This window comes from Homo sapiens, chromosome 20 (genome assembly GCF_000001405.40).
Source record: "Homo sapiens chromosome 20, GRCh38.p14 Primary Assembly".
NCBI classification, from domain to species: Eukaryota; Metazoa; Chordata; class Mammalia; order Primates; family Hominidae; genus Homo; species Homo sapiens.
Genome location: NC_000020.11, coordinates 3,162,194 through 3,186,681, shown reverse-complemented (window position 1 = coordinate 3,186,681; position 24,488 = coordinate 3,162,194). Strand labels below are relative to the sequence as shown.

Sequence of the window (24,488 nt, the reverse complement as noted above, 5' to 3'; positions counted from 1 at the left end):
GCCACCGTGCCCAGCCTGGTGGTCCCTTTTTCATAGTTAGATTTTGGAACCCTTGACTCTTGGCTCCAACCAATCAGATACATTTTGATTTTTGTAACTCTCAAGCAGTGCTTGTCCTGGGTGCCTTATCTTCACAGCCCAGCCCTACACAGGTCTATTGTGATACTACTTGCGCCCTATAGAGTCCAGTAACTTCTCTTTCTTGTGGATCTTCAAGGCTTATTATTGACAAGTTCTAGATTGGAGTTATATTACACAATTTTTCAAAAAATAGTTATTTACAAGATTAACCATGAGCTGAAAATTACTGAAAAACTGGGAATGGGTACATGGAGGTTGTGCTCATTTTCTTTCTTCTTTCTGGTTTTTTTGTTTGTTTTTTTGAGACAGAGTCTTGCTCTGTTGCCCAGGCTGGAGTGCAGTGGCGTGATCTCGGCTCACTGCAAGCTCCGTCTCCCAAGTTCATGCCATTCTCCTGCCTCAGTCTTCTGCGTAGCTGGGACTACAGGCGCCCACCACCACGCTCGGCTAATTTTTTATATTTTTAGTAGAGACGCGGTGTCACTGTGTTAGCCAGGATGGTCTCAATCTCCTGACCTCATGATCCACCCGCCTCGGCCTCCCAAAGTGCTGGGATTACAGGCATGAGCCACCGCGCCTGGCCTTGTTTTTGTTTTTAGGATAAGATCTAGCTCTGTTGCCCAGGCTGGAGTACAGTGGCACGATGTCAGGTCACTGCACCTCTGCCTCCCAGGCTCAAGCCATCCTCTCACCTCAGCCTCCTGAGTAGCTGGGACTTACAGGTGTGCACCACCATGCCCGGCTAATTTTTTAACTTTTTGTAGAGATGGGGTTTTGCCATGTTGCCTAGGCTGGTCTCGAACTCATGAGCTCAAGCAATCCACCTATCTTGGCCTCCCAAAGTGTTGGGATTACAGGCATGAGCCACTGCACCCAGCCATCTATTTTCCTACATGTTTAAACTTTTCTATAACAAAACATAAAGAGTCCTAGATGGCCTTGTGTATCCTTGGCTCATGCTAAACCTCAAGAAAAGGAGCTAAAATAGCTGGGTTATGTGGAGCTAAAGTAGCTGGGTTATGTGAAGCCACCGGTAATATGGTGGCAGTTCAGTGATTCCCCCAGGCTACCACAGTGATACTGATACTGGATGCATGTTGGATTTTTGTTTTTTGAGACAGAGTCTCACTCTTGCCCAGGCTGGAGTACAGTGGTGTGATCATGGCTCACTGCTGCCTCAAACTTCTGGGCTCAAGTGATCCTCCCACCTCAGCCTTTCTAGTAGCTAGGACTACAGGAGCACTCCACCATGCCCAGCTAATATATATATATATTTTTTCTCTTTTTGGTAGAGACGGGATCTCACTATGTTGCTCATGGTAGTCTCGAACTCCTGGGCTCAAGTGATCCTCCTACCTTGGCCTCGCAAAGCACTGGGATTATAGCCGTGTACCACTGCACCCAGCCTGTATTGAATCTTTGTAACAGAAAAGTATTTAAACACATCTGAAATATGTTGTTAAAAAATAACGTAATTTATGGGGAGCTTACTGAGTACAAGGCATGATTTTGAACACCCTAGGGAAGTACAGTGAGCAAAACATGGCCCCAGCCACAAGTAGGGGTTAGTGCAGTGGTATTTTTTTTTTTCTTTGAGACAGAGTCTCGCTCTGTCGCCCAGGCTGGAGTGCAGTGGTGCAATCTCAGCTCACTGAAAGCTCCGCCTCCTGGGTTCACGCCATTCTCCTGCCTCAGCCTCCCGAGTAGCTGGGACCACAGGCGTCCGCCACCACGCCCGGCTAATATTTTTGTATTTTTAGTAGAGACGGGGTTTCACCGTGTTAGCCAGGATGGTCTTGATCTCCTGACCTCATGATCCACCCGCCTTGGCCTCCCTAAGTGCTGGGATTACAGGCTTGAGCCACCGCGCCCGGCCAGTGCAGTGGTATTAATCTGACAGAGAGACCAATCAATCACAAGCTAGCAAGTGCACAGCCAGATGCTGGAGTGTATGAAAGGGACCAGTGGATAATAGGAGAGGCCTTCCAGGCTAGAAGGAGGACAGGTGCAGAGATCTGGAGTGGAGAATAAGGCCTGTGGTTCCCTGAGGGGAGCATGGAGTGTTGGGTGGAGGAAAGGCCAGGGCAAATGAGAGACAAAGCTGGAAAAGGAGGCTGGGACCTGGCTGGGAAGGTCTGAGCCCAGAGATCTGAGCTATGTTTGTTAAGTCTGGGTGGGGAAGAAGTGGGAATGTTTATTTACTTAGTGTTTTGAATCTGTTAACTCATTTCTTAAACCTTTACATCACTTTATCCCACAAATTGTCATTATACCATCAACTTCTCCCTCCACAAGCCACTGGACTATTTGAGAATATCCCTCAAGTCTTCATGCGTGCATGCCTCAGCCCCAAGATTAGAGACAGCTATTCCACTAAGGCTGTGTTTTCAGACTCTTTTAACAGTATCTCTTAGTAAGAAATCCATTTTCTTATGTGTGCATGTATGCATATAGATCCATGAAGCAGGCGTTTCACAGTACAATCCTTTTGGTTTGATGCATGTTGATACTTGCCTCTCTATTCTATTTTATTGCCAATGGTGACTAAATTGATTTTACAACTCACTAACAGATCTTGACCTACAGTTTGAAAAACAGAGTACTGAAGAGTCTTGTTTCCTTTATTTAGAACAGTGCAAGGATGAGTATCTGGGTAGAGTTGTGCGTTGTACATAACCTTTGATAGTCATATAGTTGAACCAAAAACAATTTCTGTAGTGACATTGAAAAACATTTTGACTTGATTTATCCTGACAGCATACATAATTTTTGGCTGGCTAATACATTATCCGATTGTTAATTACAGCAAAATGGATAAGGGAACCTTATAAGAAAACCTACCAAATACCAATACTGTAACATTAAACTTATTTAAATATAACCTTTTGCGTATAGCTTGGTAGATTTACGCTGACTGGTTTTTTAGTCATTTTAACTTTCTATTTTACATTTACTATTTACATTTCTACCATATGACACAAAAACACATCTATAATATAATAAAACTAAAACTCTTAATGTTCTAACTGTTCAGAACTGAGTAACTGAGACTTAATTCCTCAATTGCTGTAAGAGATTTCCCTTTAGCTGTTTCTCAGCAAGGTAAGTCAAGTCACCTTGTTGAGCTAAACTCCACGGTTCCCTGTGTTGTTCACATAATAGTGTAGTTGTGCGGACATGTGCTTGCCGTCTAGTTGGGCAGTTGTCTTTTTTTTTTTTTTTTTTTTTGAGATGGACTTTCGCTCTGTCACCTAGGCTGGACAGTGGTGCCATCTCGGCTCGCTGCAACCTCCACCTCCTGGGTTCAAGCAATTCTTCTGCCTCAGTGTCCCGAGTAGCTGGGATTACAGGCACCTGCCATCATGCCTGGCTAATTTTTGTGGGGTTTTTTTTTTTTTTGAGACAGAGTCTCGCTTTTGTTGCCCAGGCTGGAGTGCAATGGCGTGATCTCAGCTCACTGCAACGTTCACCTCCTGGATTCAAGTGATTCTCCTGCCTCAGCCTCCCAAGTAGCTGGGATTACAGGCGTGTGCCACTATGCCTGGCTAATTTTTTTGTATTTTCAATAGAGACATGGTTTCACCATGTTGGTCATGCTGGTCTCGAACTCACGACCTCAAGTGATCCTCCCGTCTCAGCCTCCGAAAGTGCTGGGATTACAGGTGTGAGCCACCACGCCCGACCAATTTTTGTATTTTTGTAGAGATGGAGTTTCAGCATGATCCTCCCGCCTCAGGCACAGTGGCTCATGCCTATAATCCCAGCACTTTGGGAGGCCGAGGCAGGTGGATCACTTGAGCCCCAGAGTTTAAGATCAGCCTGGGCAACATGGTGAAACCCCATCTATACCAAAAAAAAGAAATTAGCCAGGCGTGGTGGTGTGCACCTGTAGTCCCAGCTACAGGAAGCTGAGGTGGGAGAATCACTTGAGCCTGGGAGGTGGAGGTTGCAGTGAGCCGTGATTGCGCCACTGTACTCCAGCCTGGGCAACAGAGTGAGACCCCATCTAACCAAAAAAAAAAAAAGGACCTACATGTTTCACATGTACATGTATGATGCAGAGGCACTCACTTGAAGTGGTGACTTGTGTTCCTTTTCGCTTTGTATCTAAATATCTTGAAATGAGGCTTACAGGGTATAGGTACAGATGAGTCCCTTAGTATCATATAAACAATGCATCAATTATATAAAAACAGAATCAGATGTTACAGGGGGACCCTGTGGAACACAGGAAAAACATAAACCATTTTCTATCTTAGGTAAAATGTGCAATTAGTAAAGAATAGTTTTAAGAAAGAGAATACAGTTTTTAATTTTTTGTATATTTTTCCTTTAACTTTTATATTTATTTATTTATTTATTTTTCATTTTTTGAGATGGAGTCTCACTCTGTCTCTCAGGCTGGAGTGCAATGGCACGATCTCAGCTTACTGCAACCTCTGCCTCCTGGGTTCAAGTGATTCTCCCGCCTCAGCCTCCCGAGTAGCTGGGATTACAGGCGCCTGCCACCACGCCTGGCTAATTTTTGTATTTTTTTTTTTAGTAGAGACGGGGTTTCACCATGTTGGCCAGCCTGGTCTCAAACTCCTGGCCTCAGGTGATCCACCCGCCTCAGCCTCCCAAAGTGCTGGGATTATAGGCATGAGCCACCACACTCAGCCTTAAATTTTATTTTTCATGGACCATGTGTGTGTGTGTGTGTATAAACATCAGCTCGGCTGGGTGCGGTGGCTCATGCCTGTAATCCCAGCACTTTGGGAGGCCAAGGTGGGTGGATCACCTGAGGTCAGGAGTTTAAGACCAGCCTGGCCAACATGGTGAAACCCCATCTCTACAAAAATACAAAAGTTAGCCAGGCATGGTGGGGGGTGCCTGTAATCCCAGCTACTCGGGAGGCTGAGGCGGGAGAATCACTTGAACCCAAGAGGCAGAGGTTGCAGTGAGCCGAGATCGTGCCGCTGCACTTCAGCCTGGGTGACAGGGTGACACTCTGTCTCAAAAAAACAAACAAACAAAAAACACATCAGCTTATCAAACGGTAATAAAAGACCCCAGCATTCTTGGATTATAATCATTTCAGTTACTTTTATATTGGTTTAGATAACCCCCAAGACCTTTACTGGTAATTCCCAGGAATTTTTGGCCCAATTCCAGAAGTTTTCATTTCCTCATAAAGTAAGCATAGCTATAAAAGGCTTTAGTACAAACATTCGAACTTTAGCATGAATTAAAGTGCCTTGTCTGCCCCCTAATTTGCTGTTCAGAGGTAACTGCAAGCAGTCATCTCAGAGAGGTAAACCCAGATCCCCTTCTGGACAACTTGGTGGGTAGGACCCCAAAGGATTGCAATAGTCTTTCCTAATTTGATAGGTTTTGATCTGCATCTCTTCAGTATCAGCGAGGATATAGATGTTTTCAACTACTTATTGGCTATCTGGATTCATAGTGATATATATATATATAGATATATAAAAAAATCTATCTATCTATCTATCTATCTATCTATCTATCTATCTATCTATCTGTCTATCTATCTGTCTATCTATCTGTTTTTTTGCGACAGAGTCTCGCTCTGTCACCCAGGCTGGAGTGGAGTGGCATCTTGGCTCACTACAACCTCCACCTCCCGGGTTCAAGTGGTTCTCCTGCCTCAGCCTCCCAAGTAGCTGGGATTATAGGCACGTGCCACCACGCCTGGCTAATTTTTGTATTTTTAGTAGAGACGGGGTTTTGCCATGTTGGCCAGCCTGGTCTCGAACTTCTGACTTCAGGTAATCCACCTGCCTCGGCCTCCCAAAGTGCTGGGATTGTAAGCGTGAGCCACCGTACCCGGCCCTAAGTGATATATTTCTTTTACCTATTTATCTGTAGACCTAGGGTTTTTGTGATTTCATTCATCATTCAACTAAGGAATGTTGTGTCTATTATGTATTTGTATTCATTTTCTAGTGCTGCTGTAACAAATGACCGAATCTTAGTGGCAAAAAACTACACAAACTTATTATCTTCTGCTTCTGTAGCATAGAAGTCCAGTGCGGGTCTTCTGTGCTAAAATCAAGGAAGGACTGTGCTCCCTTTCAAGGAAGGACTGTGCTCCCTTTCTGGAGGTTCTTTTCCAGCTAGAGGCCACCCACATTTCTTGGCTCATGGCCCCCTTCTTCCATCTGCAAAGCCAGTTATGTTGCATCTCTCTGATCATTCTTTCCTAGTCACATCTCCATCTCACTCTTTCTGCCGTCCTCTTTCACTTTTAAGAACGCTTGTGATGACACTGGGCCTGCCTGGATAATCCAGGCTAATCTTCCTATTTTAAGGTCTGCTGATCAAAGCCTTAACTCTATCTACAACCTTAATTTCGCTTGGCCATGTAACAACATATTCACAGGTTCTGGGAATTAGGATTTGGACATTTTGGGTGGGGGGCATTATTCTGCTTACTCTAGAGTATTAAGAGATACGATTTTTTAAATTTATATTTTAAATATATTTTTAAAGACAGTCAAAAAGGAAAATAAGTTTATGTGGACGAATAAACAGGTAAGCTCTGAAAATGTAGAAATAGCAAAGTATTAAGATATTAAATATTTGCCCAGCTGTGGTGGCTCACATCTGTTATCTCAGCACTTTGGGAGGCAGAGGCAGGAGGATTGCTTGAGGTCAGGAATTCATGACCGGCCTGGGCAACTTAGCAAGACCCCTTCTCTACAAAAAAATTTTTAAAAGGAAGCTGGGCATGCCTGTAGTCCTGCCTCCTCAGGAGACTGAGGCAGGCAGGAGGATCACTTGAGTCTAGGAATTCGAGGCTGCAGTGAGCTGATTGTGCCAAAGTGCAAAAATTACATTAGTGCCTAGACTCCTTTCTTCTGCCATATGACCTATGATCCCACCATCTCAAGGTGGCCCATGTTTAATCTTGTATGTATCTTTCCTGAATTTTCTATGCACGTACATATATATTCTTTGAAAAAGAATAGAGGGGCTGGGCATGGTGGCTCACATCTTTAATCCCAGGCACTTTGGGAGGCCAAGGCGGGCAGATCACCTGAGGTCAGGAGTTCGAGACCATCCTGGCCAACATGGTGAAACCCTGTTTCTACTAAAAATTTCTAATAAAAATTAGCTGGGCATGGTGGCAGGCACCTATAATCCCAGCTACTCGGGAAGTTGAGGCAGGAAAATCACTTGAACCCGGGAGGCAGAGGTTGCAGTGAGCCAAGATCATGCCACTGCATTCCAGTCTTGGTGACAGAGTAAGACTCCATCTCAAAAAAAGAAAAAAAAAAAAAGAGTAGGAGGACTCTCTGCTTTGGGGGCTGCTCAATAAATAAAAAATAATAATAGAAAAATTAGAGTACAGTAGGTTGATAGGTATACATATGATATGCCACAGCTTTTTTCACTTACTGTAGTCATCTTTCTGTGTCAACACATAGGCATCCATGTCCTTTTAAATATTAATAGCTGTCTATTGTTACATTGCATTGGATGCCTTGTAATTCATTTAATCAATCTTCTATTAATAGATTGATGTATTTAGGAGGTTTTTTTTTTTTTTTTACTTTTACATTCAGTACATTAGTGACTGTCTTCAGACATACATCATATTATTTGTGATGGTATCTCTTCCCAAGAAATGAGATTGCTGGGTCCAAGGATATACACATTTCATATTTTTATATACTACCAAATTGTCCTCCCAAAAGGTTGTACCAATTTATACCCTCAAAATGCTATGTGAGGCTAGGTGCAGTGGCTCACACCTGTAATCTCAGCACTGTGGGAGTGCTCAGCTCTCAGGTGGATCGCTTGAGCTCAGGAGTTTGAGACCAGCCTGGAAAACATGGCAAAAGCTTGTCTCTACAAAAACTACAAAAATTAGCTGGACATGCTAGTAAATGCCGTAGTCCCAGCTACTCGGGAGGCTGAGGCAGTAGAATCACTTGAACCCGGGAGGCGGAGGTTGCAGTGAGACAAGATCGCGCCACTGCACTCCAGCCTGGGCAAGAAGAGTGAGACTCTGTCTCAAAAATAAATAAATAAATAAAAATGTAAAAAATAAAAAGAACTATTGACTTGACTTCTGGTAAAATCAAGAGGGCCTCAAATGGTCTAGCTGTAAGCTGCCCTCCTGCTGTGTTCTGTGGGTAAGGTCCCCTAGCCAATCCTTTCATCAAATGAACCAGGAGCAGTTCCTGCTTATCTCTTAGTAGTAGGCTTCAGTTCCCTGCCAGCCTGTAGAATTATTCAAACAAGCCAGTTACCTCCCATGCAGGAACCAGGGAGCACCTCACTCTCTTATCACTACAAAGCCTGCCCTCCACAACCCCTGGTTGTTCTCTCCACTCCTGAGTACACCCCCTGTGTGGCCCTGCGTGGCTTGTGGTGTCCTTTCCCATTGAGTATGTTGTAACTAATAAACTGCGGTAAATCTCACCTGCCCAGTGTCAGGTGTTGTGTTTGGCCACTGCCATCACATGAGAGTGGGAACCCCTCCGTCAGCTATGGGGCAAAGAAGACGTGATTAAAACAAATATTTAAAAGACTAATGATATCCTATGCTGGTGAGGCTGTAGGGAAACAGGAACTCACATCTCACGTGGCTTTTTTTTTTTTTTTTTTTTTTTTGAGATGGCAACTCACTCTGTAGCCCAGGCTGCATTGTGCAGTGGCATGATGACTGTTCACTGCAGTCACGACCTCCCAAGTTCAGGTGATCCTCCCGCTTCAGCCTCCTGAGTCGCTGGGATTACAGGCACTTGCCACCCCACCCAGCTAATTTTTGTATTTTTAGTAGAGATGAGGCTTCACCATATTGGCCAGGCTGGTCTCAAACTCCTGACTTCAGGTGATCTACCCACCTCAGCCTCCCAAAGTGCTGGGATTAAGGCATGAGCCACCGTGCCTGGCCGGTAATACATAATTCTTAATTTCAACTGTTCCTGGTTAATTAGGAGGGTTCTTTTTGGGTATTCATTTTTGACTGATTTTTTTGGCATCTATTATGATAATTGTTTTTTTTTCTCAGTTGACAAACTCATGGCTTATTAATTTCATACAGAATAATCTACAGTTTTATTTTCTTGAATTGTATGTAGGATTTTCCACCCCTGGAACTGATGACTGATGAGTATGGTTTTCAGTTTTCCTTTCTTCCTGTGCTATTATTAGGAATTGGTATAAGGGGAATTGTGGCTTCATAAAATGAAATAGACAGCATTCTATCTTTTCTGGGTTCTGATGCAGATTAGTAGGGTGAAAATTATCTATTCAGTGAGTTTGAGAGATTTCTTCCATTAAACTGTCTGAGGCCAGAGCCTTTTTAAAATTTCATTTATTTATTTTTGAGACAAGGTCTTGCTCTGCTGCCCAGACTAGAGTGCAGTAGCACGATCACGGCCCACTTGCAGCCTGAACCTCCCAGGCCCAAGCCATCATCCAACCTCAGCCTCCTGAGTAGCTGAGATCACAGGTGTGCACCACTGTGCCTAGCTAATTTTTTAATTTTTTTTTTTTTTTTTTTTTGAGACAGGGTCTCACTCTGTCGCCCAGGCTGGAGTGCAACAGCGCAATCTCAGCTCACTGCAACTTCCACCTCCTGGGTTCAAGTGATTCTCTTGCCTCAGCTTCCCGAGTAGCTGGGACTACAGGCATTCACCACCACAACTGGCTAATTTTTGTATTTTTTGGTAAAGATGGGGTTTCACTAATGTTGGCCAGGCTGGTCTCAAACTCCTGACTTCAGGTGATCCACCTGCCTTGGTCTCCCAAAGTGCTGGGATTACAGGTGTAAGCCACCATGCCCAGCCCAATTTTTAAATTTTTTTGTAGAGACAGGGTCTCCCTATGTTGTCCAGGCTGGTCTTGAACTCCTGGGCTCAAGCCATCCTCCTGCCTCGGCCTCCTAAAGTGTTGAGATTATAGGCGTGAGCAACGATGCCGGCCACCAGAACCTTTTTTGGACATATTTCTTGGATGATGTTTTTAATATCTTTGTTATCCTTGTAATTTTATTTCCCAGAAAATGAGCCCCTTTATCAAGGTTTTCAGGGCCGGGCACGGTGGCTCAGTTCTGTAATCCCAGCACTTTGGAAGGTGGAGGAGGGTGGATCACTTGAGGCCAGGAATTCGAGACCAGCCTGGCCAACATGGCGAAACACTGTCTCTACTAAAAATACAAAAAATTAGCTGGGTGTAATGGTGCACGCCTGTAATGCCAGCTACTGAGACTGAGGCAAAAGAAGCACTTAAACCCGGGAGGCGGAGGTTGCAGGGAGCCAAGATCATGCCACTGCACTCCAGCCTGGGTGACAGAGCAAGACTCTCTCAAAAAAAAACAACTTGTGTGATCATTAATCAGCAGGTGACAAATCATCTTAAGCAACAACAAAACAAAACAAAACAAAGTATTGATTAGTTCACTGAACTGATGAACCTAGATACAAATAGTCTAATCTCAGCACTTTGGGAGGCCGAGGCGGGCGGATCTCAAGGTCAGGAGTTCGAGACCAGCCTGACCAACATAATGAAACCCCGTCTCTACTAAAAATACAAAAATTAGCCCGGCGTGGTGGTGGCACATGCCTGTAATCCCAGCTACTCAGGAGGCTGAGGCAGGAGAATTGCTTGAACCCAGGAGGCGAACGTTGCAGTGGGCTGAGATTGCACCATTGCATTCCAGAGGGAGACTCCATTTCAGAAAAAAAAAAAAAAAAAAAAAAAAAAAAAGTCTAGTTCATAGTTGCTCTGAAAGAAAGGAAGGGGATTGCATTAGTTATTCATTCAATAGTTACACACTATGCTAGAGTTTGTGTAAATTTTAAGTGAGACTCTGTCTCAAAAAAACAAAAAAGTTTTCATATGCATTGGACCAGAGTCAGATATAGATAGTATTCTCTTATTTTCCTGGTGTTCTTTTAAAGATGCAAAACCACATTAGTCTATGAAATAGGAATGGAGACTACAAAGAGAGATTAAGTTGAGATCAAGACAGAGGTGGAATGGAAATTGGCTGAAAGAAAAATAAAACAAGCAGAATCAAATGTCTTATTGGAGAAAATAAACAGTACTCTTGGCTCTGAAGAAAATTAAATCCGTAATGGTGAAGAAAAACTTGATATAGTCTCCCAGGGTGCAGAGAAAACAAACAGATTTATTTGACATTGGTGATCCAATGTGATAGTTTTAGAGGAGAGGAAAGAAAAAAACCCAAATCTTTTCACAGAATGGACAGGAAGAAAACTTTTCTAAGCTACAAAGAAGACCTCTTTTGTTTCTGGAAAATTAATAGATAAGGCCCATATTGATTTATACTGGCAAAATGTTTGACTTTTGAGGGTAAAGAAAAACCCTTGCAAGCACCAAGCAAACTGCTGACCTTAAACAGACAAACCCAGCTTTGCATTTTCAGTGCCAGAAGACAATGAAATAAAGACAAGAGTTTTGAGGGGGAAAGCTTGAGACTCAAGAATCCTATAAACAGGAAATCATTATAAAGGCATTCTCACCTAAGGCAAAGGCTTAGGAAATACAACATTCCAGAGTCCTCCCTGAAATCACCAGTCATGTGAGAGATGGGTCCAAATGAGGAATAGAAAAATTAGAGCACAAAAAACCGGCAGTAACATTGAAACCAATTAAACAGAGTTGGCAAAAGCCAAAAACAAGGATTGAAAAAGAATGTTGTGGCTTAAAAAAAAAGTGTAAACAAAAGTTAGGTCTGTCGTCCTGATTAAGTGGACAAATATAAGTAGTGAGGGCGGCAGGTAGGAGGCAGAAAAGCACACAAAATTTCTCATGGGGGAATATAAAAACGAATTATTTGTCACTGACTTTACTAATGTGTGAAATGTAAACTATTTTCATTTGATAAATCTAAAGGCAGCCGCGAGAAGAATTAAAAATACTTTCTGCCTTGAAAATCACGATAGAAGATAAAAGCAAATGTGGGAAAATTCAGAAAACAGGAATAAATAAAAACTATAGAATACGAAGTCGTAAGACCAAACACAACACCTATAAACAGCAGAGACGTAATGCGTTAAATCCCAGCCAGAGCAGAGGCGCTGCAGTTCTTAGGGCAGACCCTGGTGCCTCCAGGCTTTTGCTAGTGCTAAACTCTCGGCTAGGCTTGCCTCCCTACCCTATTCAAGGCTGAGGCCTCAATTCAAGGCCGACTCCCTCCTCCCGGCAGTCCTCCCGGGCCGCCCTAGGCTGAGTGAGCACTCCCCACAGTGAACGCTGCCCGCGCGGGCGAGGCCGGCGCTCCGGGTCCGGTACGAAGTCCCACCTCACTCCCTCTCACCCCGGGTTACAGCGTGTGGTCTGGGGCCACGCGTTACGCCAGGCGCGGGGCACAGGGTGAAAGCGTTCAATCCTGCTGGAGTGTAATGTGTATTTTTTCCCCGTCGCACCTTCCAGACGGTGATCCAGTGTGAGCAGCAAGTTTCAAATCGTCTCCGTTTGGTCACGAACGGAGTTTACTGCCCCTCGACGCCTCCCGCACGACAGCCCGTGGTCCTCGCGCCCGGGCGGGTCGTTGCTCGGCCGGGCGGATCCACCCGCGACGGCTCGTCCCGACCCCTCCCTAGCGGACTTGCAAGGTCTCAGGGCGTCCGCTGGGAGGCCGCGTCCCGAAGAGCTGGCGCGGGAGAGGAATGGGGCTCGGGGCTCCGAGTCGGGAGCCCCTTCCCCCAAGCAAGAGGGGCTCCTCCTCCTCTTCCTAGACGTGGGATTCAGGGAGGGCGCGGTTCCATTGGATTTGTTGCAGAGGAACGACTGGGCCTGAGCCCAAGCCCAAGGGCCTGGGGGGTAACGAGCGATGAGCAGAGGGGCTCGCGGCGGACTTGCTGCGCCCTAGAGAGGGTGAGGCTGAGGGGTCCCACGCGCGGGCGGGGCGCAGCGACGAAGGGGTTAAGGCGCCTCACCCCGCCCCAGCCCGGGCATTGGCTGCCCTGGGGGGCGTGGCCGGAGGGCGGGCTCGCGTTTGCCGCAGCCGCTGGTGGGCGGGGCTCGGGCGGGGAGCAGGAGGGGCGCGGAGCGGAGCCGGGCCCGCGCAGCGCGCCCCGCCGGGCGTGCTTCGGGCTGCGCCAGCAAGCGGGGCCGGTGGCGCCCGTGTCGGAGACCCCGCGCCGGACCCTGAGGCAGCGAGTAAGTGAGGCAGGCCCATCGTGGCATCCCTCCCGGCTCCGACCTGCCGCCGTGCCTGCTGCACTGCGCGGCATGTCTGACCTGACCCGGACTGGGTAGGGGGCGCGTCCCGCTGCTAGGGTCCCAAGGGGGAGGGGAGCGGAGAGGAGGCGGATGATGTCATGGATGCTTCGCCCGGCCTGGGGGGAGGTGGCGGCCAGAGGGGGTGCGGCTCGGATTATGTCACCTCTTCCCTCTGCGCCCCGCCCCCCGGGGCCACACGCGTTGGTGGGGAGCCTGGGGAGGTGCGGGCGGGGTTTCCCCCATCGCAGGGACTCCCAGGTCCTGTGGCCTGTGGCTGGGGTCTCTATCAGTTGGCTCTGCGGGCCGTGGGCTGCTGGTGAATGGCGACCCCCCCTCCCACCCCCAGCAGAAGCTCGTGTGTGCGCGCGTGTGTGTGCTCGGGGTGGAGGGGGCGCTCTCGGCCCCCTCAGTCCTGAAACACTGGCTTCATCAGAGCCAGTAGCTAGGTGATGGGCCCATTCCGCTGCCAGTGCTTAGGCCACCGAGGGAAGACGGATCTCCCCTCACTCATCCCAACCAAGAAGTTCTGGATATCTCTGCACCCCAAAAGCCCTGCAGTGCCCCCAGATCCCTTTCCTCCCTCAGTCCTGCTTCCTGGAAACCCCTCCTGCTCTCCCTGCCCGGATTCACTGCCTCTTTGCATTGCCCATAACTAGCATTCCCACAGGCATTTGCCCTGCATTTCCTTGGTGCAGGGCCCAGAGACCCCCAGGACTCTGCCCTCTGTGCTCCTGGGAAACCTATAGGCCAGCCCTGGGGAGGCCTCAGAGTGAAATCTCCCTGGGGTGTCCTCAGCCAAGTGCTCCAAGATGCCCCCTCTGGGGGGTGGAGATCAGGGATGCTGTCCTGAGGCCAGCCTTTGAACTGGTCTAGAAGCATGTAGGATGGGCACAGAGAGCTGGCAAGAGCTTGTGTGTGAAGTAGAGAGGGGCTCAGGTCAGGGTAGATAGAGGAGGGGCATCAGGAGAGTCCTTGGGGACCCTGCTGCAAGCTCTGCTCTGGTTCTGGGGACCAAGAGGAATACCAGGCATTTCACCCATCATACATTTACTTCTTAAAATGCCTGCAATGTAGGTGTGAGAACCCGAGGTGAAATAACCTGCATGAGGTTGCACCCCTAATCAGTCAAGCTGGGATTTACACTTGGAGCTGATGCTGCCAGAACTCTGTCTACTGCACTTGGTCTTGCTCATGGAAGGATTTGGACAGAGCAGGGGCAAGATCAGCTTTGCCCTTTAGAAGGAATCCCCTGGCAGCTGCCTGGGGGAGGGAGTGCAGGAGAAGAAAGTCCATTGAGGAGCCCCCAGCAGGGGTGCTGGATGGAGGGGCTGGCTAGAGATTTTTAGGAGATAGAATGGGCTGGGGTTGGGGCCTCTGAGACCCCAAGTGTTCCTAGCTTTGGGAGAGACACAGGTTGAGGGGTGGGTTGGAGGTACCTGTACATGTAACTGTCAGGTAGAGTCCGTTTGGCCCCCTCATGACGCTAATACTGTGTATAATGCCCCAGGCACTGAGGGCTGAGGTGACAGAGATCGAGGCAGTCAGGCAACAGGCTGTCATCTCAGGGTGGTGCACTGATGCCAGGAGGCTGCCTTTGCAGACCATGCTCAGTTACCTGGACTAGTTCAGGACCGTGACCTTTCCTCTCAGTTCAGTTCCTGCTTACCAGGGAAACATCCCCTTCCTTGTCCTGCCGGTGTCCTGCTGGGATTTTTTTTTTTTTTTTTTTGAGGGGGTATCTCACTCCGTTGCCCAGGCTGCTGGAGTGCAGTGGCGCAATATCACTGCAACCTCCACCTCCTGGGTTCAAGCGATTCTCATGCCTCAGCCTCCCGAGTAGCTGGGATTACAGACACGCACCACGACGCCCGGCTATCTGCTGGGATTTTGTGGAAAGAAGCTGCAGCAGCCAAAGCTTGGGAGAGACAAGGGGCAGGGCATGCTTGCAAGGGGTTAACCATGACAGGTTACAATTACGACAAGAAGCTCTTTAGGCAGTGAGGCTCCAGAGAGAGCTTCTGTGGGTTGATAGTCAAGCATTCCCCAGGTAGAGCACGGAGAAAGGAGGCTCAGGACAATGGTCCTGGGACCTTGTTTCCATCCACGACTCGAGGCATCTGAGACTTGCTAGGGACTACACACACTCTAGAGAAACAGTAGGGGAGAGTGGCCTATGACCAGCCCCAACCTATGCTCAGGTTGTCCTTTCCCGGATCTCAGAGAAGGTGTACTACATGTTTGTATTGCCCCTTATAGTTTACAAAGCACCTTCCCAAACATTATACCCTGTCACTCAAGGTCAACATGATCACTGTTGAGGTTTATTCCTGCCCAGATCCAGGTATCTGGTGCAGTCACCTTGCTATCCCCTTGCCTAGATCTTTCATCTCACTATTGGCAACTTCCCTCAGCATATTAACACACAGGTTTCTACCATGGTTAATTTTAAAATTAAAAAAGCCCTTGAATCTCAAACCTCCTTAAATAACTGTCTTCTCTTTTAGCAGGAACTCTGCCATGTCTTTCTCTGCACTCCTCTAGCCTTGTGGACTGCCTTTGTTTTGTACCACTTTTTTTGTTCTGTTTTGTTTATTTGTTTGAGAGGGAGTCTTGCTCTGTCACCTATGCTGGAGTGCAGTGGTGCGATCTTGGCTCACTGCAACCTCCACCTCCTGGGTTCAAGCCATTCTCCCGCCTCAGCCTCCTGAGTAGCTGGGATTACAGGCATGCACCACCACACCCAGCTAATTTTTTTGTATTTTTAGTAGAGGCAGGGTTTCGCCCTGTTGGTCAGGCTGGTCTCGAACTCCTGATCTTAGGGGATCCACCTGTCTTGGACCTCCCTAAGTGCTAGGATTACAAGCGTAAGCCACCGCGCCAACCTGTTTTTTTTTTTTTTTTTTTTGATGTAGTCTCGCTCTGTCTTCCAGGCTGGAGTGCAGTGGCATGATCTCGGCTTACTGCAACTTCTGCCTCCCGGGTTCCAGTGATTCTCCCACCTCAGCCTCCTGAGTAGGGGATTACAGGCGCGCACCACCACGCCCAGCTAATTTTTTGTATTTTTAGTAGAGACGGGGTTTCACCACGTTGGCCAGGCTGGTCTCGAACTCCTGACCTCAAGTGATTTGCCTGCCTTGGCCTCCCAAAGTGCTGGCATTACAGGTGTGAGCCACCGCATCCGGCACTTGTACCACTTTTCTGAAACCATTCTGACATAGACATTGGTGATGTCTCGAGACCAGCTCCTAAATCCGCAGCACACTCTCCAACCCCAGTGTTACCTGGCCCTGTTATTTTTAACACTGGAAACTGTCCCCACATTCTTGAATCCCCCCAATCTTGGCCTTCAGGGCCCACCTTCTCCTGGCCTTCTTCCTGCTCCCAGAGTGCCTTCCAGACTTCTGGGGCTTTGCTCCCTGGCTCAGTGCTGGCCTACACCCCCAGCACCCTTGAAAACTGATGATCTCAATCTCTCTCCATCTAGTGCTTTTTTTTTTTTTTTTTTTTTTTTTAAGGAAAGAGTCTCGCTCTGTCACCCAGGCTGGAGTGCAGTGGTGCAATTACAGCTCACTGCAACCTCTGCCTCCTGGGTTCAAGGGGGTTCTCGTGCCTCAGCCTCCCAAGTAGCTGGGATTACAGGAATGCATACCGCACCCAGCTAATTTTTGTATTTTTAGTAGAGATGGGGTTCCACCAATTTGGCCAGGATGGTCTTGAACTCTTGGCCTCAAGTAATCTGCCCACCTTGACCTCCCAAAGTGCTGGGATTACAGGCATGAGCCACCTTGCTTGGCCTCCATTTAGTGCTTGAGAGGTATCTTCCTCTGGTGTTTCCCAAAGCAACTATTTTCCCCAAGCAGTCTCCCCCTATCATGTTAACAGTGTCACACGCACGCTGGTGCCCAGTCCAGCATTATCCCTTGTCCCCACCACCTGACCTCATCTGTATGAAATTTTGCCAGTTCTTTCCCAAACCCTGCCCAGGCCTTCCTACTGGTTCCAAGCCTCAGGCCTTTCAGGCTTCATCCTCCCAGTCCCCAGCTGCTCCCCACATTGCACCCAGAGGTGGCAAGAGAAGGGTCCATACTTAAGGTAGGAGGGGGTTGCAGGGCTGAGGCATAGGGGGCTGGAGTATGCTGGGGAGTAGAGGCAGAGCAGGGACTAGAGTGAGGCCAGAGAGGGACCCAAGGCACAAAGGGAAGGAGGCTGTCACCCTCAGGGCTGTGTACTTGCTGTTTGTGCCCTTCATTTGTGCCCTACGTGGCTCTCTGTCCTCATCCTAGTCCTGGCCCTTGCTTATGGGGACAGACGGGTCCAAGGGAGGAGGGTGGCGAAGTGCTCTTCTCCACACCTGTGGGGACAGATGCTGAGAATGGAATTCTACAGAGACAGTGGACAGGCTTGGTAGTGAACTTTCCAACAACCTAGAGCTCTCATTCCTGGTGTGGGGGCCAGAAGACTCCCGAAGGACAACAGTTTTGTCAGGTGCCCTTGGTCTGGGCCAGGGACTCAGCATTAGAACTGGGCATCTGGGTAGAAGACGGTCTGTGGGGCCATAGGGTGCCACGTGGGCCCCTTAACTTGATAGGGAAGGAGGGCTCCCTGCCTGGTTTATGCAGGGTGTAGTGGGAAAAGGCCTGAAGGGCGCCCTCTCCCATTTCCCACACACTTATTTGAGGGTCTAACCCGAGGCAGACACTGCCTGGTGCTCCTGCCCGGCTGCATTATGCAGATCTCTGGGGCAGGTGTTCCCAGGTGCGAACTTGAGACAAAGGAACGAGGAAGCACGGCCTCCCTGAGCACAGGTAACCCGAGGCCTGGCTCCCCCTGCGCTTGTGGGCCGGCCTTGGGGGAGGGGGACGCGCACCCACAGAAGGACTCAGAGGGCTTCACGGTAAGCTGAGCAGGGTCAAGGTCCACAGGGAGCGGGAGAGGGTAGTAATCCGGGAAGTCTTCCTGGTGGCAGTGAATTCTTTGCGGGGTTCGGCAGGCGCAGGATCCTTGGGGCCGCGCACCCTGCAGCGGCCCCTCCCCTCCCCTCCCCCCTCCCACCTGTGGGAAACGCAGGCCCTGAGAGAGGCTCCGTCAGTGCCAGCAGCTGGCGCCACTGCGTCCCCTGCCCCGGCCTCAGCCAGCCCTGGGACCTCTGCGGAGGACTGATCCCGGGAAGGGGGCCCTGTCTTCCCAGGGCCCCGGTGCGGCCGAGCTGGGAAGACCTTGGGGAGGGCAGGCCTGCCACCTACTGCAGCCGCGGCCCCCGTCCATCCGGGAGGGACAGGCTGTGCCCTTGGCGGCGCCCACCCGCGACCCAGATGTGCGTCGCCTACCCACCCTCCCCCAGACCCCCGTTTCCTCAGGCGCTCGCCGCCTCGGGGCGCCTGGCACGCGGCAGCCCCGCAAGGTAGGTCCTTCATTCCTCCCATTTCGCAGAGGAGAAAACTGCAGTCCGGGATGGCTCAGTCGGCCCCTCCAAAGTCGCGCAGCTGGTTCGGGCCGAGCCCCGACTGCGAGAGTGAGGCACATGGCCCCTGCAGACCGGGCCTCGGAGGGTCCCAGGCTTGAGGACCCGTCGGCCCCTCAACCCCTTGGAAAGGCAAGGAGAGAAGCCTGCGCTGGTAGTGAGCTTCCACTTCTGCCCTGACTGCAACACTTAGGTTAGGGGGCTGGGAAGGACCCCCACCCTCAATTTTTGGATAGGGGTGTATTTCTCTCCCTCCCCTAATTTCTGAGGTTGGTTCCCTGTTGGATTCAGGTACTGCTCTCCCCTTCCAACCCCATTTCCCCAGCCCATGAGGTTGGGATATTAGGGTCCCAGACCCAAGATAAAGAACCCCAAAATTCTGGGGTTGCAGCAAAGAGTTGAGAGGGTCACTGAGCCTGGGAAGCTCATGGCGGAGGTGGGGCTAAGGCAGAAGTTTAGGAATGGAACGCTGAGCTGAGCTGAGCTGAGCTGAGCTGAGCAACGCTGGGGGCTATGTGCATGGAGCCCTGGGGGTTGGGCTTTATCAGGTGGGCAACAGGCAGCCCCCATTCCCAAGTTCTCTCTTTTATCCCAGCCTTATTCCTTCACCTTGGATGCCTGGGAACTTTTTGTACCCATTGTAGGGAAGGGGACACTGAGGGGCAGAGCGGTGCCGGGTTGACTTGGCTGGGGTGGTGGGAATAGGAGTAGGGTCTTACCTATCTCTGCCTTCCCACCTGTGCCCACAGTGCCCCCCTGGCTTAGTCATGGCGAAGCTGGAGACGCTGCCTGTGCGCGCTGACCCAGGGCGGGATCCTCTCCTGGCCTTTGCCCCACGGCCCTCCGAGCTTGGACCCCCGGACCCCCGCCTGGCCATGGGCAGCGTGGGCAGTGGGGTGGCCCATGCCCAGGAGTTTGCCATGAAGAGCGTGGGTACCCGCACAGGGGGTGGGGGCAGCCAGGGCAGTTTCCCTGGCCCCCGAGGCAGTGGCAGTGGGGCCAGCAGGGAGAGGCCGGGCCGCTACCCCTCAGAGGACAAGGGTCTCGCCAACTCCCTCTACCTCAATGGTGAGCTGCGGGGCAGTGACCACACCGATGTCTGTGGCAACGTGGTTGGCAGCAGCGGAGGCAGCAGCAGCAGTGGTGGCAGTGACAAAGCCCCACCGCAGTATCGTGAGCCCAGCCACCCACCCAAGCTCCTGGCCACCTCTGGCAAGCTAGACCAGGTCAGTCCGCAGGGCCTGAGACCCTCACAGCCTTTTTCTGGGGGTGGGAGGCAACCCAGAGAGGAAGGCAAAGTGGGCCTTCTTGGAGGTTGGGTTGTGGGGGCAGGATGGAGGCTGGGCTGGGGAGTCATGGACTGGGGACCTGGGGCCAAGTCTAGCGGGTAGATCAAGGACAGAGATCTGGTATCAGGGAGCCATGAGGTAGAACCCCGGATGGGGAACCTCAGGGTGGAAATCCAGTAGGGGTGGGAGGTGGGGCTGGACAAGTCTTGGCCAGAGGGAAGAGCCTGGGCCAAGCCCAAGGCCTCATCCTGACCCCCAGCCCCCTCCTGCGTTTCCTGCAGTGCTCAGAACCACTAGTTCGGCCGTCGGCCTTCAAGCCTGTCGTACCCAAGAATTTCCACTCCATGCAGAATTTGTGCCCCCCGCAGACCAATGGGACTCCTGAGGGACGGCAGGGCCCTGGTGGCCTCAAAGGCGGACTGGACAAGTCTCGGACCATGACTCCAGCGGGTGGGAGTGGGAGTGGCCTCTCAGACTCAGGCCGGAACTCCCTCACAAGCCTGCCCACCTACAGCTCCAGCTACAGCCAGCACCTGGCACCCCTCAGTGCCTCCACCAGCCACATTAACCGCATTGGCACTGCCAGCTATGGTAGTGGTAGTGGCGGCAGCAGCGGTGGGGGGTCGGGCTACCAGGACCTGGGGACCTCCGATAGTGGACGGGCCTCCAGCAAGAGTGGGTCGTCGTCATCTATGGGGCGGCCAGGCCACCTGGGCTCTGGGGAGGGCGGAGGTGGAGGCCTGCCTTTCGCGGCCTGCTCACCGCCCTCCCCCAGTGCACTCATCCAGGAGCTGGAGGAGCGGCTGTGGGAGAAGGAGCAGGAGGTGGCAGCTCTGCGGCGCAGCCTGGAGCAGAGCGAGGCGGCTGTGGCCCAGGTACTGGAGGAGCGGCAGAAGGCGTGGGAGCGGGAGCTGGCCGAGCTGCGGCAGGGCTGCAGCGGGAAGCTACAGCAGGTGGCCCGACGTGCCCAGCGCGCCCAGCAGGGCCTACAGCTGCAGGTGTTGCGGCTGCAGCAGGACAAGAAGCAGCTGCAGGAGGAGGCGGCCCGGCTGATGCGGCAGCGGGAAGAGCTGGAGGACAAGGTGGCCGCCTGCCAGAAGGAGCAGGCCGACTTCCTGCCCCGGATAGAGGAAACTAAGTGGGAGGTGCGGGCTGGGGATCTGGGCCTCCCCTCTGCCTCCCTTCTGTCCCTCTGGGAAACCCCAGAGCAGTTGCCCCTCACTATCATAACGGTGGGATGGGGGGGGGGATGAAAGGAGCAGGGGGGACAAAAATCAATTGGGAGTGTCTGTGAGGACCCGAGGCCATCCGCTGGGTGAGACATGTCCATCTTGAGTCCAGGCAGGGAATCGGGTGCGTCGCTGCTGATGAGGGGCTGAGCCTGCAGCCCCGGGAAGCTTGGTGCCCCTGGCTCCAGATCTGGTAGCTGGGTTGGGGTGAGCAGAGCTCTGCCTTTACCTGGCTTCTCCTCTCACCTGTTCCTGCCCAGGTGTGCCAGAAGGCTGGCGAGATCTCCCTCCTGAAGCAGCAGCTGAAGGACTCGCAGGCGGATGTGTCGCAGAAGTTGAGTGAGATCGTGGGACTGCGCTCGCAGCTGCGGGAGGGCCGGGCTTCGCTGCGGGAGAAGGAGGAGCAGCTGCTCAGCCTGCGGGACTCCTTCAGCAGCAAGCAGGCCAGCCTGGAGCTGGGCGAAGGCGAGCTGCCTGCCGCCTGCCTCAAGCCGGCGCTGACCCCCGTGGACCCGGCCGAGCCACAGGATGCTCTGGCCACCTGCGAGAGCGACGAGGCTAAGATGCGCCGTCAGGCCGGGGTGGCCGCTGCCGCCTCCTTGGTTTCCGTGGACGGGGAGGCGGAGGCTGGCGGGGAGAGCGGGACGCGGGCCCTGCGGCGGGAGGTGGGGCGGCTGCAGGCCGAGCTGGCGGCTGAGCGGCGGGCCCGGGAGCGCCAGGGTGCCAGCTTCGCCGAGGAGCGCCGCGTGTGGCTGGAGGAGAAGGAGAAGGTGATCGAGTACCAGAAGCAGCTGCAGCTGAGCTACGTGGAGATGTACCAGCGCAACCAGCAGCTGGAGCGCAGGCTGCGGGAGCGCGGGGCCGCAGGGGGTGCAAGCACGCCCACTCCCCAGCATGGCGAGGAGAAGAAGGCCTGGACCCCCTCCCGCCTCGAGCGCATTGAGTCCACAGAAATCTGATCGACCTGGGCACTCGGCATTTTGACACATGTCCTGTCAAAAGGCCAGAGTCCCCAGTGTCCCCTCCCCTCCATCTCTCTTCCCCATAGACCCCATAACCCCAGACCAAAGAGGTTCTCTAAGCAGCTGTGACCAGGTTCCTCCCTCCCCACCTGCCCTCCTAGCTCCAGCACTGCCCCCGTGGCAGCCCACTTGGACCCCCCTAAAAGGAGGGAATAGGAGGAGGGCAGGGTGAGTGGGGGCAATCCTAGGTGGTGGGGGAGTCATGCTCCCTTTCTCGGCACCCCCTTGTTGGAGATGGAGGCAGCAGACGTGCAGTGCCATAAGGTGCCCCAGTCCTTCTGGAGGCCTGGGCTGCTACTGTTGGCCACCCTGTGTCTAGTGATGCTCTCTGTGCTCACCTCCTAGGCCATGGAGCCTGAGGGGGCCTGCACCAGGTTTGCTGAAACTGACAGAGCCTGGGCTCCAGACCTCTCTCCCTCCTACAGTGCTCTCCCTCCCTGGGCAGATTGGCAGGACAAGTGGGAGCAGATGGCCTGCCTTTGGCTGAGAGGGCTACCTGCCCAGCCCCTCCCCCAACAAGATCTCTTGGACTCAGGCCTCAGAGCCTGGCCTGGTTGTGAGTGTGTGTCCCTGTGTGTGTGTTGCGGGAGGGGAGGACTGGGGCTGGAAGTCCAGCACCCAGGGAAGATCTGTCCTCCTGTTCTTGGGAAGCGTTGCCTGACGGCTTCTCGGCTCTACCCTCACCCTTCTGGCCAGGATCCCGCAGGGCAACAGCCCCATCTGCTTGGCTGACCCCACACCCAGGACCACTGTCCGGCTCTAACACAGCTATTAAGTGCTACCTGCCTCTCAGGCACTCTCCTCGCCCAGTTTCTGAGGTCAGACGAGTGTCTGCGATGTCTTCCCGCACTCTATTCCCCCAGCCTCTTTCTGCTTTCATGCTCAGCACATCATCTTCCTAGGCAGTCTCTTCCCCAAAGTCTCACCTTTTCTTCCAATAGAAAATTCCGCTTGACCTTTGGTGCACTGCCCACTTCCCAGCTCCACTGGCCCAAGTCTGAGCCGGAGGCCCTTGTTTTGGGGGCGGGGGGAGAGTTGGATGTGATTGCCCTTGAAGAACAAGGCTGACCTGAGAGGTTCCTGGCGCCCTGAGGTGGCTCAGCACCTGCCCAGGGTAGGCCTGGCATGAGGGGTTAGGTCAGCCAATGTCAGCTGCTTCTCTTGGGGCCCTCTCAGAGTCTATCTCCCCAAGACAGGAAGGGAAAAGCAAATTTCTAATTCACCAGCAATAAAAATTGGAGGAGGCTTGGCCCTCAGCCCTTATATCTCTCTCTTTTTCACTCTCTTCCTCCCACCCCCAAGACTGAGTTTTGGGGGGCAAGGTGGAGAGAGCTGGCAACTACTGTGAGCAAGTCCCCTAGCCCCTGACCAGCCTCCTCCCATGACTGGTGACTGTTTAATGAGCTGTGCATCCCCCACAAAAACATGAGTGCCCCTCTGTGTGGCCTCTAACCCTCTGCACAGCCCTTCTGGGTGGTCCTCACCAGGTCTCTGAGCTGGGTGGGAGGCCATCCTGGCGACCACTGCCCATTCCATTCACCCCTCACTGTACCTGCCCTAGAACCTGGGCCTAGGCCACAGGGGCAGGGAGAAGAGAAGGCATTAGTAAGAAAAAAATAGAAAAAAATATGAACAGACTCAGCTTTGGGACGTCCAACCACAAAAGAAATTATATATAAATATATATAAATATATATCTCTACCATATGTGATGGAAAGACTTTTTGTTTTCCTTTCCCAAAGAAATAAAACGGAAAAAGCCTCTTGAGTGGTATTCTTTGGCCTGCTTGTGTCTTTGCAGGTGCGGGAGGTGAGGCCCGGGTGGGGGATGGGGGCAAAGCTGGAGTAAACAGATTTCCCAGAGGAGGCATGAGACTGGAGGTGCTCACTGGGCCGTGCTAGGAGGTTGGCCCAAAGCCCAAGTTCTGCCACGTTGCCCGGGAAGAGTCGTGGTGCCATGTATATGCCCAGTGGGGCTTTCTCTTCAGCTCAGACTGTTGCCAAAGGGGTTAAAAGCTGGCTCCAGCTCAGAATCTGGACACTAAGCTGCTAGCCAGAAAACAGGTGACGCAGGACAGCTAGATGCAGCCTGCAGTCGCCTAAGCCACCTTACAGCAACTGGTAGATGTTTGCGGGCTGAATGGATAGAAGTGAAGACTGGGAACAGGTTTGCAATTAATGGCGAAGCCCCAAAGGC

At 51.6% G+C, this 24,488-nt stretch overlaps 1 protein-coding gene and 1 long non-coding RNA gene across 11 annotated transcripts, besides 2 other annotated features; one reads left to right on the top strand and one right to left on the bottom strand.

The window, feature by feature from the left end:
* Positions 3,826-3,993: a silencer, noted in NCBI's record as "fragment chr20:3163335-3163502 (GRCh37/hg19 assembly coordinates)". NCBI's record gives its function as "represses an EF-1alpha promoter that drives an FKBP-Casp9 reporter gene in an ReSE screen in K562 erythroleukemia cells {active_cell/tissue: K562}" and the evidence as "EXISTENCE:reporter gene assay evidence [ECO:0000049][PMID:32094911]".
* LOC107985414 (uncharacterized) lies at positions 7,619-12,992 on the bottom strand. Its single transcript, XR_001754477.2, has 2 exons — positions 12,492-12,992; positions 7,619-8,580 (listed from the first exon to the last, which is right to left on the bottom strand). It is a non-coding gene; the product is annotated as an uncharacterized LOC107985414 (long non-coding RNA).
* Positions 12,910-13,249: a silencer, noted in NCBI's record as "silent region_12614". NCBI's record gives its function as "represses an Ori minimal core promoter by ATAC-STARR-seq in GM12878 lymphoblastoid cells {active_cell/tissue: GM12878}" and the evidence as "EXISTENCE:reporter gene assay evidence [ECO:0000049][PMID:35858748]".
* Positions 13,133-24,065, top strand: LZTS3 (leucine zipper tumor suppressor family member 3). Of its 10 annotated transcripts, NM_001282533.2 has the most exons (6): positions 13,133-13,227; positions 18,721-18,944; positions 19,501-19,977; positions 20,322-20,915; positions 21,054-21,185; positions 21,530-24,065. In NM_001282533.2, the coding sequence occupies exons 3-6, from the start codon at positions 19,519-19,521 to the stop codon at positions 22,226-22,228; spliced, it is 1,884 nt and encodes a 627-aa protein (NP_001269462.1). In that variant the 5' UTR covers positions 13,133-13,227; positions 18,721-18,944; positions 19,501-19,518; the 3' UTR covers positions 22,229-24,065. The 10 variants fall into 10 exon arrangements, with proteins under 10 accessions (NP_001269462.1, NP_001375121.1, NP_001354538.1 ...); NM_001388192.1 differs by having other exon boundaries at positions 18,721-18,883; positions 20,322-21,122; NM_001367609.1 differs by having other exon boundaries at positions 18,721-18,883; positions 20,322-21,185.
* The last annotated feature ends 423 nt before the right edge of the window (positions 24,066-24,488 follow it).

What these genes read in the sequence shown, in the direction of transcription:
- LZTS3 (NM_001367609.1), top strand. Translation starts at nt 18,812, where the DNA reads ATGGCCCCTGCAGACCGGGCCTCGGAGGGTCCCAGGCTTGAGGACCCG. An exon ending in CCTCTGGCAAGCTAGACCAG is followed by an intron (nt 19,978 to 20,321) that starts GTCAGTCCGCAG and finishes CGTTTCCTGCAG; the next exon opens with TGCTCAGAACCACTAGTTCG. An exon ending in TAGAGGAAACTAAGTGGGAG is followed by an intron (nt 21,186 to 21,529) that starts GTGCGGGCTGGG and finishes GTTCCTGCCCAG; the next exon opens with GTGTGCCAGAAGGCTGGCGA.